At 38.4% G+C, this 15,766-nt stretch overlaps 1 long non-coding RNA gene across 10 annotated transcripts in view; it reads left to right on the top strand.

The window, feature by feature from the left end:
- SLC12A2-DT (SLC12A2 divergent transcript) overlaps positions 1-15,766 on the top strand; it is a 142,736-nt gene that overhangs the window by 38,199 nt on the left and 88,771 nt on the right. The window lies entirely within an intron of this gene.

Genomic DNA, 15,766 nt, shown 5'->3' with positions numbered 1-15,766 from the left:
CCACTTTTCTGCTCTGGTTTCTCCCCATCTTTGTGGTTTTATCTACCTTTGGTCTTTGATGTTGGTGACCTACAGATGGGGTTTTGGTGTGGACATCCTTTTTGTTGACATTGATGCTATTCCTTTCTCTTTGTTAGTTTTCCTTCTAAGAGTCAGGCCCCTCAGCTGCAGGTCTGTTGGAGTTTGCTGGAGGTCCACTCCAGACCCTGTTTGCCTGGTATCACCAGTGGAGGCTGCAGAACAGCAAATATTGCTGCCTGATCCTTCCTCTGGAAGCTTCATCCCAGAGGGGCACCCGCCTGTTTGAGGTGTCTGTCGTCCCTTACTGGGAGGTGTCTTCTAGGCAGGATACATTGGGTCAGGGACCCACTTGAGGAGGCAGTCTGTCTGTTCTCAGAGCTCGAACGCCATGCTGGGAGAACCACTGCTGTCTTCAGAGCTGTCTGACAGGGACGTTTAAATCTGCAGAAGCTGTCTGCTGCCTTTTGTTCTGCTCTGGTCTGCCCTCAGAGGTGGAATCTAGAGAAACAGTAGTCCTTGCTGAGCTGCGGTGGGCTCCGCCAAGTTCGAGCTTCCTGGCCACTTTGTTTACCCTGTGAGCTACTCAAGCCTCTGCAATGGCAGACGCCCCTCCCGCTGTCAAGCTGCAGCATAACAGGTTGATCTCAGACTGCTGTGCTAGCAGTGAGCAAGACTCTATGGGCATGGGATGTGCCAAGCCAGGCATGGGAGGGTATCTCCTGGTCTACCGGTTGCTGAGACCATGGGAAAAGAGCAGTATTTGGTCAGGAGTGTACCGTTTCTCCAGGTACAGTCTGTCATGGCCTCCCTTAGCCAGGAAAGAGAAATCCCCCAACCCCTTGTGCTTCCCGGGTGAGGCAACACCCTGCCCTGCTTCATCTTGCCCTCCATGGGCTGCACCCACTGTCCAAGCAGTCCCAATGAGACGAACCAGGTACCTCAGTTGGAAATGCAGAAATCACCCATCTTCTGTGCCAATCTTGCTGGGAGCTGCAGACTGGAGCTGTTCCTATTCTGCCATCTTGGAACCTGACCAGTATCCCCTTTTTAAAAAAAAAAACAGGTTTATTGAGAGATAATTCATGTATTATACAATTCACACATTTAAAGTCTAAAGCCTCTCTTTTTAAACTTTATTTTTCAAGACAAATGGCCTGACAGTATCTAAAATTGGGGACTGTTCTTATGAATCAAGATATCTGGCCACCCTATGCACTTAAATAAGAAAGTCCAACCTTAAGATTCCATGGATATATGTTCTTCTATTAGGGCACGCAGGAAGACACAGATGCCTTCTTTATTCCTCCTGTTATGGCTCCACAGAACTCCAGAAACCTAGAAGGATATTGAATATGTAGCAAACAGGATCAAACAAGTAACTTCAGTGGCCTGCAGACCTATTTACTTTTAGATAAGTTCTCTAATCACACCGCTATCATTGTATCCCTAAGAACATATAAACCAAGCCCCAGTAATGACTATAAAAGACATGTTACCAAATTATCAGTACACACCCAAATACTGCTGCTCCAAATAATCAGGTCACCAAGGAAAGAAAATTATATTTTAACTAAAGATATTCTAAAAAATCAAAAGATGCTTTCACATGACCTTTAAAAACAATCATAAGCATAAATCAAAGCAGATGTTTATCTTAAGGGAAATGTGATATACATTCTTTTATTTCTCCCCTTTGGGATAATTTTTAATTGTTAAAAATTATACAACTAGTACGTGTACACTACAAGAAATTAGAAAATACATAAAGCCAAAAGTACAAGAATTATAAGATCTCTTGATGCTATTATTCAGAGATCCTATGTATAAGTTCTGGTGTATATCCTTCCAAATATTTCTTTTGGTGTATACTTACATAAACTGTAGCTGGTATATTGCAAGCTTTAACAGTCTATAATTAAAAACTAGGCTTGTATGAATATTTGACACCCAGATTATTTCCAATTGTTGTGTAGTCTATCTATCCTGATCTCCAACAGGTATCTATCACCTTCTTTCCTCCCTGCCCTGGCTCCTCTGGGTCCATGTTTACTATTGCGGTTCCTGAAGGAACCTCATCATCACCATTGTTGATGGTGTCCCCTACCTGTGTGAAGGTTCTCATGGGGCTTAGAAGGCTGGCAAATATCTTGCAGGCCTCGAAACAGCATTGCCATGTGCCATGACTCTCCTTTAGCTTCTTAGAGCTCAGTTCCCTATCAGCAATCCTGCAAACAAACACGAATGTTTATTTGTAAGAACAAGTGACATTTTTAAGACAATGAGATCTTAAGCTAAATATATAAAATAAAACATTTATCTCGAAGAGACTAATACTTGTCATACAATAAGAACAGTTAGCTTACCCATACAGCCAGCCTCCTGTGTGAACCTCTTTGTGCTAAAACACTCAAGTTTTGGGGGCTCACCATCTCCAACATCTATCCAGGTGAGAGATCAGTGTAATACTTACATCATTAAATGGCCTATGGAGGATTTTCAGGTCAAACAAGCAACAATCTGCCCTAAAAGCAGATCCAATAACTGCAAAAGAAACAACAGTAAAATCCAGTTCACTGCTTTGACAATTATGTAGGTTCTTATCTTCTCCATCCAGGTTTCAATTGTCCAAGTTTCAGTAAAGGTACAAGTTTAAAGTTCTTGCTCCTTATTAGCTGTCTGAGCTATTAACTCTGGTTCCTCTGAGGAGGGTCTTTACTATAGGTTGGGAATAGGAAAGGGGAACTTTTCCATTTTAATGCTTGAGGCATATGTAGACTTTTAAGTTGTTGCAGTGTAGACATATTTATATATTAGTGGCATTTGTGGATCACAAGGTCAGGAGATCGAGACCATCGAGACCATCGAGACCACTGGCTAACACAGTGAAACCCTGTCTCTACTAAAAATACAAAAAAATTAGCCAGGCATGGTGGTGGGCACCTGTAGTCCCAGCTACTTGGGAGGCTGAGGCAGGAGAATGGCGGAAACCCAGGAGGCGGAGCTTGCAGTGAGCCGAGATCGTGCCACTGCACTCCAGCCTGGACGATAGATTGAGACTCCGTCTCAAAAAAAAAAAAAAACTGCCAATATCACTACCAACAAAACAAAAGTAGAGATCCAGCCCCAAACATGTTGAAGCAGTCAGAACAAAGCTCACGGTGTATCTCTTTTTAATACACTATTACTAAACTGGTTACCTCTTAACAGGACTCTGTAAAAGTAAGATGCTGTTCTTGTTATTCTCAGATCTTATAAAACTCACATCACTTAGGATTCTTACGGTTGCATATAACAGAAACCCAACTGAGAAAACTTAAGACAAATGGAAAATTTATTAAAAGACTATAAGTGTGAGTTATGGAAACCTGCTACTGCAGCATATCCAGGCCTCTAGTATCTTAATGGATGGGAAAACTGCAGGTAACTGTATCAGTTAGCTAACGCTGCATTACAAGCCACCCTTATAAAAACCACAATTTACTATTTTTCACAAGTCTATGGGTTGGCTGGGCAGTTCTGCTCATCTGGACTAGGCTTGGATGATCTCAGGGGGCATCTCTTTGTCTCTTTAGTCAGTTGGTGGGTCAGCTATCTCCTGGCTTTTTAGGATGATCTTGGCTATGGCACCATAGCTATGCTTCTTATCCTTCCAGCAAGCCAGCCAGGCATGTTCTTAGGGAGAAGATGGGTCAAAGATAAAAACTGTAAATATGAAAAGCTTCTTGTGATTAAGACTTGAAACTAGCATTCTGTCACTTTTGCCAAGTCACAAGTCCAGTCCAGATCTAAGCGATGGGCCACTGGCTCCACCTCTTGTTGGGAAGACCTGCAGTCATAATGTTAAGGGAGTGGCATACAGGAAGGGGAATAAAGAATTGGGGACAGTTATGGAATCTGTCTCCTGTAGTAAACCAGGGAAGGGTTGCTTATTCTTCTTTTACTGCAGACCAGCTTTCTCTTTTACCTGGTCCATGTAGTACTGTAGTAAATGGCCACTGCTACCAGCTTCCAAGTTTACTTTTTTTTGAGATGGAGTCACCCAGGCTGGAATGCAGTGGCATGACCCCAGCTCACTTCAGCCTCTGCCTCCCAAGCTTAAGTGATCCTCCCATCTCAGCTTCCTGATTACCTGGGACTACAGGTGTGCACGACCACACCTGGCTAATTTTTTGTATTTTGGGTAGAGACGGGGTTTTGCCATGTTGCCCAGGCTGGTCTTGAACTCCTGAGCTCAGGTAATCCTCCCGCCTCAGCCTCCCAAAGTGCTGAGATTACAGGTGTGAGCCACTGCTCCCGGCCCAAGTTTATATTTTTGCTGTTCAAGAAGATAGGCGAAAACTGAAACCTCTACCTACACCATATAGCCTAGAAGAGATCTCAGTGGCTCATCTTGAGTCAGATGCCCACTCATGGTTCAATAAACTATGGTCTAGAAGACAGGGTCATATGGATGTTTCTATTACAGCCATACAGATGGAAAGAGAATAGAGGATAATTATCAGAGAAGGAAATAGCAACACAAATGTTATTCAAATATAATTACAGAACTTACAAGTGGTTCCAATGTGTCTTCAATTATTTTAGGAGAAATATCCTTTTGCAGCTATGGCTTAGGTCATGAACAAAAGAGGAAGATGGATCCCTGTGCTAAGCAAGAGCCTGGGTTCTAGTATGAGACTGCCTATGTTGGTATTTCCCATCTGCTACATCCTGATTATGTGATGTTGGGCAAATTCTTGAGCTCTTTGTGATGCAGCTACCTTATTAGTAAAATTGGGAAGAAAATGATTCCTGCCTTGTAGATTGTTAAGAGGATTTAATTAGCAAATGGATAAGATATGTGTAACAGTGTCCATACATTAGTAAATGCTCAAAAAATGTTAGCTATTGATATTGTTATTACCATTAAAGAAAAAGTGGTGAACACTGAGCATAAAATTCAGCAGTATAGCACTTGTCATTCCTGTCTATTAACCCTCATTGTCCAATGTATTTGCTAGGTGCTGGTAGAGATTCCTAGTTTGAACTTAAATTAAATTTGTCACAGGATATCCTTATTGGAAATCCCAGATATGTGTTTACCATTCTGACTATTAGTCTTCTTTTTTTATTTTTTTATTTTTTTGGGTGGTGGGGACAGAGTCTCACTCTGTCGCCCAGGCTGGAGTGCAGTGGTGTGATCTCGGCTCACTGCAAGCTCCGCCTCCCGGGTTCACGCCATCCTCCTGCCTCAGCCTCCCAAGTAGCTGGGACTACAGGTGCCCGCCACCACGCCCAGTTAATTTTTTGTATTTTTAGTAGAGATGGGGTTTCGCTGTGTTAGCCAGGATGGTCTTGATCTCCTGACCTTGTGATCCACCCATCTCAGCCTCCCAAAGTGCTGGGATTACAGGCATGAGCCACCGCGCCCAGCTATTAGTCATCTTTTTAAAACATTCCTCCAGGTTTATGTGTGTATGCTCACAAAAGACACAAAGAGTTAAGTCAAAATGTACGGAGACCAGGAAGGCGAGTCTATCAGTAGCAGCAAAATGAAGATGTGAACAATCAGAAGTTTGAGGATCAGACAGTGACCTTCTGCTCCAGGCTACAGTAAATCAGAAAGGCACAAAATTTTGAAGGAAGAAAAAAGATTCATCTTTATATATATTTTTTCCCTAACTGCTATACAAAGCCCCAAAGCCTGGAAGTGTTAATTATTATATGATCAATAGTCCTAGCCAAAAAGAAAAAGAAAATATTTAAATATTGAAAGATTAATTATAGATAATTTAAGTCATATGACATAGAATGCAAATAGGAGTTTGGCGGCCACCAAATCAAGAACTTATTTTAGCAAAAATAAGAACTGTCTGTTTAAAATTTTAAAAATTTACTATGTAATTATTTTGAAGGTCAGATTTTATCAAATGAACCCAGTCTAAAACTACATGCAAAATATTATGAAAATGTATTAAAATAGCTTCTTCTGTTTTATTTACCACACCTACATTCTTTGTGCATATTCACATAGGAAGCAGCTAGAACTCAAGCAGGCAATTCCTTTATCTCATCAAAAATAGAAGCCAATAGTTGTAATGACTCACTTGTTTCCTTCTGCTTTCAATCCTTATCTTGGGACCACAGATTGCATTAGTTTTTTAAGTAATTGTACATCTTTTGTGAAGCACTTTGAAGTGGTCTGGCCATGTTTAGAATTCCTAAACAAAGCTAAGTTTGTGACTGAGCCCTATCTCTTTAATGCCACACTTAATATGATTTTGAGATCCTGCACAAGTCACTGACAAAAGGATCAGAGCCAAGCTCTTAGTTAAATTAAGAGATTTTCCTATAGTTCAATTTGTCATACTTTTCTTCACTTCTAAAATATACTATGAGCATGTCTAATTATAAATTCTTGGTAACTTGATGCTTAGAATTTTTTTCTTCTGTATTGTCCTTGACACCAATTTCTTTTTTCTCTGCATGAAATATAATTCAGAAGTTTGAAAACAATGAAGGTCCATATGAGATTAACCCAGGCACAATGGATTTGACTATTAATACAATGTTAAAATGTGTGGAGTGGAGTGTAATGGAAACTGCTAGTAGCTCCCCCAAATCCATTTTCCGCTTAGTCTGTATTAACAAAGTCCCGGTGTCCATCTGGGTACATGGCTGCCCCATATCAAAGCTATGTTTCTTAGCCTTCTTTGCAGCTGGGTATGGCCAAGTAATTCCCTTCTGGACAATGGGATTTAAGTGGCAGTCATGTTTGACTACCTTTGGACTTTCATGTGAGAGTGTTAATTACCTCCACACCTCACCACCCATCTGCATTTCATTCAATAAAGGAATAGTGGGAAATGATAATAAAGTAGTTATTATTAGTAATTAGTGATTATCATTGGGTACTATAAAGAAGCATGAGAGAGAGCTAACCATACCTCAGTCTGTAAACAGAGTGACAGTCCTGAGCCTTCACCTGCATTCTTAATTTTAATAGAAGCAGATCCATCCTTAAAAATACAAAATATTTGTAAACTGATGGTTACTTTTCAATTGAAGGTTATCACGTATTTTAGACACTACCCACTGATTTGCCTCTGTTAAAGGTGAAAAATGGGAATTGGATCCAAATCATGGCAAGAGAGATTTGGGCTATAAAGATAAATTTAAGGAAGAATTTAAAATACTAAAAATGATTAAAATCTACATAAAAGACCTCAATTTTGACTATATTTGAAAACAGGATAAACAGATGCATTTTGTATTCCAGTTTCTTCAGTCTCCTTTCTGATACAGAGTTGGATGAGTCCCCTACATATTGCATTTATTTAAAATTATAGAAGCACTTTTCTGTGAAAATAAAATACAGTATCTTTTCTTATTTTTATGTTTCTAACGAGCATTACTTTAAAAATTGTATTCACATTCAGACATAAGTGATTCTTAGGGAAGATCAAAAAAAAAACACAGGCTTACATTTTCATTTTTGTTGTGCAATTCTTAGGTAGTCAACTAAGTATATATTTAATCATATCAACGCATCCAGTTAAGCTATAATTTCTAAGCCATCTTACAGGTCATATAAAGGACAAAGATATCTTCATTGCACACTGTAAATATTTTGTTTAAAACATCAGGTAAGATTGGATATAATTATAGTTTTCTTTATCAAATTTAGAAGGCTGTCAACCACAGCACACATTCATTCCACTAGTCATTTTAATCAAGTCTGAAAAGCATAGGGCAAACATCACTCCAATCAGTTGTCATCTAGACCCTGGGGCAAATATGCTTAAGCAATGCTGAATTCTCCTGGACGTGAGAAAAGAAACAACTGTGAGAAGAATCTGCACTTCCTTGTAGTAGCCTCTGCAAATTCTTGAATGCTGGCCATCTCCTTTCACTAGAAAAAAAAATGAGGCAATTGATGAATTTCTGTTAATTCTACTACTCCTACAACAATAGCAAAACTGATGCTATTTTTTTCTATTATTACTTGAAAGAAATCTTGTAGAACAATCATATTTCTTTAAATATATCTGGGCAGCTGAATCCCAGGGTTTTTTCCTAAGTTTTACGAACACACACTATGAAGATATGATAACCAAACCAGCACGTTTCCTGACTCTTCTATCTTCTCTCTAATTTTGATTATATTCTACTCATACTGAACATTGACTTGGATAAAACATAACATCATTGCTGAAGCATTCTTCTAATATCTTACCATGATAGTCTTTATACATTTTTAAAATTATTTTTTTCTGGTGAAGAAAGGAAGATGGACCAGGAAGTAGGAGACGTATATTCAATTTTCTGCCTGTGACCTTAATTTGTAGTGTGACTTTGGGCACCCAGGGTTGCAATGTGCATGGCTGTCTTATCTGTACTATGAGGAGAGTTAGGCTAAAAGATTTCGGGATATTTTCCTCTAAATTACAATATGCCAAAGTTAACAATTTAAACAAATGTTTAAAAATATTTGTTTATTTGGTATACTCAGGTAAATATCCCTTCTTTTTTGTTTGTTTGTTTTTTGCTTTAAAAACTATAAACCCTAGAAATGGTAGCACTTATGGTTTAATTTTAGTGGGAATTTGAAGAGGATCTTTATTGATGTTAAAAAAAATTGTAACCATACACCTCTCTGAAATGAGTTTTTGGATTCAGTATGATTATTTTATACTTGATGAGAATTCAGATATAGAGCCAGAAGTTACAACTCAGAGTTATACATGGCATAAGTTAAATAATGAACAAGTCTGCAAATTTATTACTAAAATAATATTTTTGTGGGTTTTCTTTGTTTGTTTTACAAACCCTAATAGTATGCCCTCTGAATTTACCAATGCTTAAACTTTTGGAGAATAAATGTGGCATTTTAAGAAACTTTATTCAGATTATTAGAAACTGTAGAAGTAAAAACCTTCTACGGTTGAGCTAGATCTCATTATAATGCAAAGTTTTGACATTAGCCATTTCTGCAACCTGCAGTGCTATTTTTCCGGTTCAGTAACCATTAACTGGCCATCTCAAAACCTATTCCTCTTTTTATTCCTATTAAGTCCCTCTCTCCCCCGCCTCTGCCCAGCCACTTATCCTGCCTCTCTGTACCATTGATTTATGGTGCAGCTCACTCTGACCTTTCTCCACCAGCTGCTGACCAGGCACTGAGACATCTCAAGGGAATACAAAATCCTGGGGGCTCGTAGAATCAGTGCAATCTGTCTATCTATCATCTACCAAATTTCTCTCTTCATTGGCTTTAGCTACAGAGCATTCTTCCATTATCGGATACATGTTGATGTTTATGTTGTATAATAAATACAGTTAACATCTTTTTATATCAACACCAAGTTTCTATTTTTCACAGATTTTACCCAGATCATCATCAGTTTATGTATTCTTTCTTGACCCTCAAACAGTTACCTGAAAACTAATCTAAATCAGAATCATGCATCAGAAAACTTAAAATTTTTTAACTTTGCCTCAGGATTTTTATTACCGCTTTCCTTAATTCTCAGCTGATTTATATTGATTTTACAATTCTGCAGAGAAAATGCCAGATTATTTGGAAGATAATAGCACAGTTTCATCAGCTGCTGAATGAATACAGATAAGGAAAGAAAGAACTATAACTTAAGGAGCACCTGATTTATAAGCAAAAGACAAGCACTTCAGACTGATTAGCCAACAGCTGTCTTCATTTTTCTGAGGAAAATCTTTGGAATATAGTATCATAGTCTCCTAACTTTAGCATACTGATGTGGACATCAGAACAGGTAACTTTGAGATAACCAAAGGCTGTGAAGGGCTAAAAATCGAGGGCATTCTGAATCATGCTTCGCTTGAAATTATAAGTTGAGCCATGATGAATACTCTAAGATAAACTAAAAATCTCTGTTGAGAAATGTAGACAAGAAAGGAAAGTTAGGTAATCAGAAAACCCAATATGTAGACAGAACATTGTTCAAAACCATGCCTGAATTAACACTGATGAGCTGTCTGTGTTTCTACAATTCCCAGATGTACTTGCAAGCTATATACTTTCAATTGGTATCATATTTTATGTGTGACATTCATAGTTAGAAACATTGTCATGATTTAATCACTTGCTCTTGGAGAAGAAGCTAGAGAGAAATAAAGTTTTGGGAACTTTATTTTCTTTTTAACTTTTAGGTTTGGGAGTACATGTAAAGGTTTGTTACATAGGTAAACACGTGTCACGGGGGTTTGTTATACATATTATTTCATCACCCAGGTATTAAGCTCAGTACCCAATAGTTATATTTTCTGCTCCTCTCTCTCCTCCCACCTTACCTCCTCAAGTAGACCCCAGTGTCTGTTGTTTCCTACATTGTGTTCATAAGTTCTTATCATTTCTATCCCACTTATACGTGAGAACATGTGGTATTTGGTTTTCTTTTCCTGCATTAGTTTGCTAAGGATGATAGCCTCCAGCTCTATCCATGATCCCACAAAAGACATGATCTTGTTCTTTTTTATGGCTGCATAGCATTCCATGGTGTATATATACCACATTTTCTTTATCCAGTCTGTCATTGATGGGCATTTAGGTTGATTCCACATCTTTGCTATTGTGAATAGTGCTGCAGTGAACATTCGTGTACATGTGTCTTTATGGTAGAATGATTTATATTCCTCTGGGTATATACCCAGTGATGAGATTGTTGGGCCAAATGGTAGTTCTGCTTTTAGCTCTTTGAGGAATCACCATACTGCTTTCCACAATGGTTGAGCTAATGTACATTCCCACCAACAGTGTATAAGTGTTCCCTTTTCTCCATAATCTTGCCAGCATCTTTTTTGTTTTGTTTTGTTTTGATTTGACATTTTAGTAATAGCCATTTTGACTGGTGTGAGATGGTATCTCATTGTGGTTTTGATTTGCATTTCTCTAATGATCAGTGATGTTGAGCTTTTTTTTATATGCTTGTTGGCCACATGTATGTCTTCTTTTGAGAAGTGTCTCTTCATATCCTTTGCCTACTTTTCAATGTGGTTATTTGTTTTCCTCTTATAAATTTGTTTAAGTTCCTTATAGATGCTAGATATTAGACCTTTGTCAAGTGCATAGTTTGCAAATGTTTTCTCGCATTCTGTAGATTGACTGTTTACTCTGTTGATAGCTTCTTTTGCTGCACAGAAACTCAAGTTTAATTAGATCCTGCTTGTCAATTTTTCCTTTTGTTGTGATTGCTTTTGGTATCTTTGTCATGAAATCTTTGCTCGTTCCTATGTCCAGGATGGTATTGCCTAGGTTGTCTTCCAGGGTTTTTATAGTTTTGGGTTTTACATTTAAGTTTTTAATTCATCTTGAGTTAATTTTTGTATATGGTCTAAGGAAAGGGTCAGCTCCAATCTTCTGCATATGGCTAGCCAGTTTTCCCAGAACCATTTGTTGAATAGGGCATCTTTTCCCCATTGCTTATTTTTGTCAGCTTTGTGAAGATCAGATGGTCATAGATGTGCTGCCTTAGTTCTGGGCTCTCTATTCTGTTCCATTGGTTTGTGTGCCTGTTTTTGTACCAGTACCATGCTGTTTTGGTCACTGTAGCCTTGCAGTATAGTTTGAAGTCGGGTAACATGATGACTCCAGCTTTGTTCTTTTTGTTTAGTATTACCTTGGTTATTCAGGCTATTCTTTGGTTCCATATGAATTTTAAAATAGTTTATTCTAGTTCTGTGAAGAATGTCATTGGTAGTTTGATAGGAATAGCATTGAATCTGTAAATGTTTCTGGCAGTATAGCCATTTTGATTATATTGATTCTTCCTATCCATGAGGATGGGATGTTTTTCCATTTGTTTGTGTCTCCTGTGATTTATTTGAGCAGTATTTTGTAATTCTTATTGTAGAGATCTTTCACCTCCATGGTTAGCTATATTCCTAGGTATTTTATTCTTTTTTTGTGGCAATTGTGAATGGGATTGCCTTTCTGATTTGGCTCTTGGCTTGGCTGTTGTTGGTGTATAGGAACGCTAGTAATTGGGACCTCTTTTTAAAAACTATGCTGAAACCATTTATAAAGAGAAAAATTCAAAACATTGAAAAACACGTAATGTTAACCAGCTAATTTCTAGACTTGCTTTTAGATTACATGATCACTCTTTTTAGCAAATGTACTACATTTAATTTTAAGTCTGATAGATTTTTGTCACCACACTGCTGTATTCTGCTAGTGAATGCAAATTATTTAATAGCCTGCCATTAAATTCTTTAACGAATTCATCATCTAAGATTAAGGTACTAAATGTTCACTCTATTGCTTGGTGGGTTTTCTCTAAACAAAAATTTTACAAACAGCAGAAAAGTTCCTTCTAGCTTTGTAAATGAGTCAATGTATCAGTACAAAAATTCCTAGCTTCTGTTGAATTATTCATACTACTGTTATCAGATTAACAATTCTGCCTTCATTTTGTTAGCTCAACTCATTTTTCTGTCACATGAAGAATTTGAAAAAGGCATTTATGTAGTAAATGAGTGAAGTTGAATTGGTTCATCTTTAAGGTCCTTTTAAGGGTTCTACAATAGAACATTAATATTTTCTTTTCCTTCTTTTTTTTTTTTTTTTGAGACAGGGTCTCACTCTGTCACCCAGGCTGGAGTGATCATACATAGGTCACTGCAGCCTCAAATCCTGGGCTCAAATGATCCTTTCACCTTAGCTCCTGAGTAGTTAGGACTACATACCCATCCTAACAACTGTGAGGTAGTATCTCCTTATGGTTTTGATTTGTATTTCCCTGATGATTAGTGATGTTGAGCACCTTTTCATACACCTGTTGGACATTTTTAGTCTTTGGAGAAATGTTTATTCAGGTCCTTTTCCCATTTTAAAATTGGGTTATTCAGATTTTTTTGGCTATTGTGTGAATTTCATATATATTTTGGAGATATATATATATATATTTTGTTTGGTTGGTTGGTTTTGTTTTTGGTTTTGTTTTTGAGATGGAATCTCACTCTGTCACCCAGGCTGGAGTGCAGTGGCACGAACTTGGCTCACTGCAAGCTCTGCCTCCTGGGTTCACGCCATTCTCCTGCCTCAGCCTCCCTAGCTGGGACTACAGGCATCCGCCACCACGCCCAGCTAATTTTTTCTATTTTTTAGTAGAGACAGGGTTTCACCATGTTAGCCAGGATGGTCTCAATCTCCTGACCTCGTGATCTGCTTGCATCCGCCTCCCAAAGTGCTGGGATTACAGGCATGAGCCACCGCGCCTGGCCATATTTTGGATATTAACCACTTATCAGACATGTGGTTCGCAGATATTTTCTCCCACTCTGTAGGTTATCTTTTCATCTTGCCGATTGTTTAGTTTGATGTAGTTTGTCTTGTTTATTTTTGCTTTTGTAGCCTGAGCTTTTCCTATCCAAAAAATCATTGCCAAGGCCACTATCAAGGAGCTTTTCCCCTATTTTATTCTAGAAGTTTCATGGTTTCAGGTCTATGCTTAGGCCTTTAATCCATTTTGAGTTGATTTTTGTGTATAAGATAAGGGTCCAGCTTCATTCTTTTGCATATGGAGTAGCCAACATCTTGACAATCCCTAGAAACTCTGTAAATTTCAGGGGTGAAGATGAGGGGGCAGGGTGGGAGTTAGCGTGCAAATTCACAGGGAGGTATCAAGAGAAAATCCTTTTATATCCTTGTAGAGATCCCAACACTGAGACCTTTCCTGGGAAAATGCGCACTCTAAAATTGTATGTGTTTTAATTAAAAACAGTCAAGTCTTACATATTGGTTTTTATTGCTGCTTTAACAAATTACCACAAACAGTGGCTTAAAACAGCACAAATTTATTATAATTGGTTCTACAGGCCAGAAGCCAGAACATAGGTCTCACTGAGCTAAAAGCAAGGTGTTGGCAGCACTGAGTTCCTTTCTAGGAACTTTCTAGTTCCTTTGTAGGGGAGAATCCATTTTTTTCCCTCAGTTTCTAGAAGTTTATATTCCTTGGTTCATGTATTAATCCATTTTCATACTGCTATAAAGTACTGCCTGAGACTGGGTAACTTATAAAGGAAAGAGGTTTAATTGACCCACAGTTCAGCATGGCTGGGGAAGCCTCAGAAAACTTGCAATCATTGTGGAAGGCAAAGGGGAAGCAAGGTACCTTCTTCACAAGGCAGCAGGAAGGAGAAGTGCCAAGCGAAGGAGGAAGAGCCACTTATAAAACCATCAGATTTCATGAGAACTCACTCACTATCATGAGAACAGCATGGGGGAAACCACACCCGTGATTCAATTAGTGCCACCTGATCTCTCCCTTCACATGTGGGGATTATGGGGATTACAATTCAAGATGAGATGTGGGTGGGAACGCAAAGCCTAACCATATCAGTTCATGGCCCCTTCCTCCATCTTCAAAGCCAGTAACAGTGGGTCTAGTCCTTATGCTGCTATCTCTCTGGTTCTATAAAGCCAGGAAAGGTTCTCCACTTTTAAAGACTCAGGTGATTAGATTAAGCCCACCCGGATAATCCAGGATAATTTCCCTGTCTCAAATTTCTTAAATTTATTCACATATTTTTATTTATTTATTTAAATTTTATTTATACGGAGAGTCAGGGTCTTCCTTTGTTGTCCAGGCAAGTCTTGAACTCCTGGGCTCATGCAGTCCTCCCACTTTTCCCTCCCAAAGTTCTGGGATTACAGATGTGAGCCACTGTGCCTGGCCTTATTCAGATCTTGAAAATTCCTTTTGCCGTATAAGGCAACATATTCACAGGTTCCAGGATTAGGCCATGGACAATTTTGGGGAGGTAATTATTCTGCCCACTACACCTTGGGAGGCATTCATTTGCTCACCTTTACTTTCTTTCCTCTCCCTGTCTGTACTGATACCGTGGATAGTCTATCTTCTCTTCACTTCCTTCTCCAGGAATTTCATTTATTCTCATACATTTGATATTTAATGAGGATGACTTTTTATTACCAACATATGACAAATTGATCACTTTTTGTTAAAATTTCAGTTAACAATGTGAAGTCAGTCAAACTATACTACAAGGCTACAGTAACCAAAACAACATGGTACTGGTACCAAAACAGAGATATAGACCAATGGAACAGAACAAAGCCCTCAGAAATAATGCTGCATATCTACAACCATCTGATCTTTGACAAACCTGACAAAAACAAGAAATAGGGAAACGATTCCCTATTTAATAAATGGTGCTGGGAAAACTGGCTAGCCATATGTAGAAAGCTGAAACTGGATCCCTTCCTTACACGTTATACAAAAATTAATTCAAGATGGATTAAAGACTTAAATGTTAGACCTGAAACCATAAAAACCCTAGAAGAAAACCTAGGCAATGCCATTCAGGACATAGGCATGGGCAAGGACTTCATGTCTAAAACACCAAAAGCAATGGCAACAAAAGCCAAAATTGACAAATGGGATCTAATTAAACCAAAGAGCTTCTGCACAGCAAAAGAAACTACCATCAGAGTGAACAGGCAACCTACAGAATGGGAGAAAATTTTTGCAATCTACTCATCTGACAAAGGGCTAATATCCAGAATCTACAATGAACTCAAACAAATTTACAAGAAAAAAACAAAAACAACCCCATCAAACAGTGGGCGAAGGATATGAATAGACACTTCTCAAAACAAGACATTTTTGCAGCCAAAAAACACATGAAAAAATGCTCATCATCACTGGCCATCAGAGAAATGCAAATCAAAACCACAATGAGACACCATCTCACACCAGTTAGAATG

The sequence above is a fragment of the Homo sapiens genome, chromosome 5 (genome assembly GCF_000001405.40).
Source record: "Homo sapiens chromosome 5, GRCh38.p14 Primary Assembly".
Classification (NCBI taxonomy): domain Eukaryota; kingdom Metazoa; phylum Chordata; class Mammalia; order Primates; family Hominidae; genus Homo; species Homo sapiens.
This window is presented reverse-complemented; position numbering and strand designations above follow the sequence as displayed.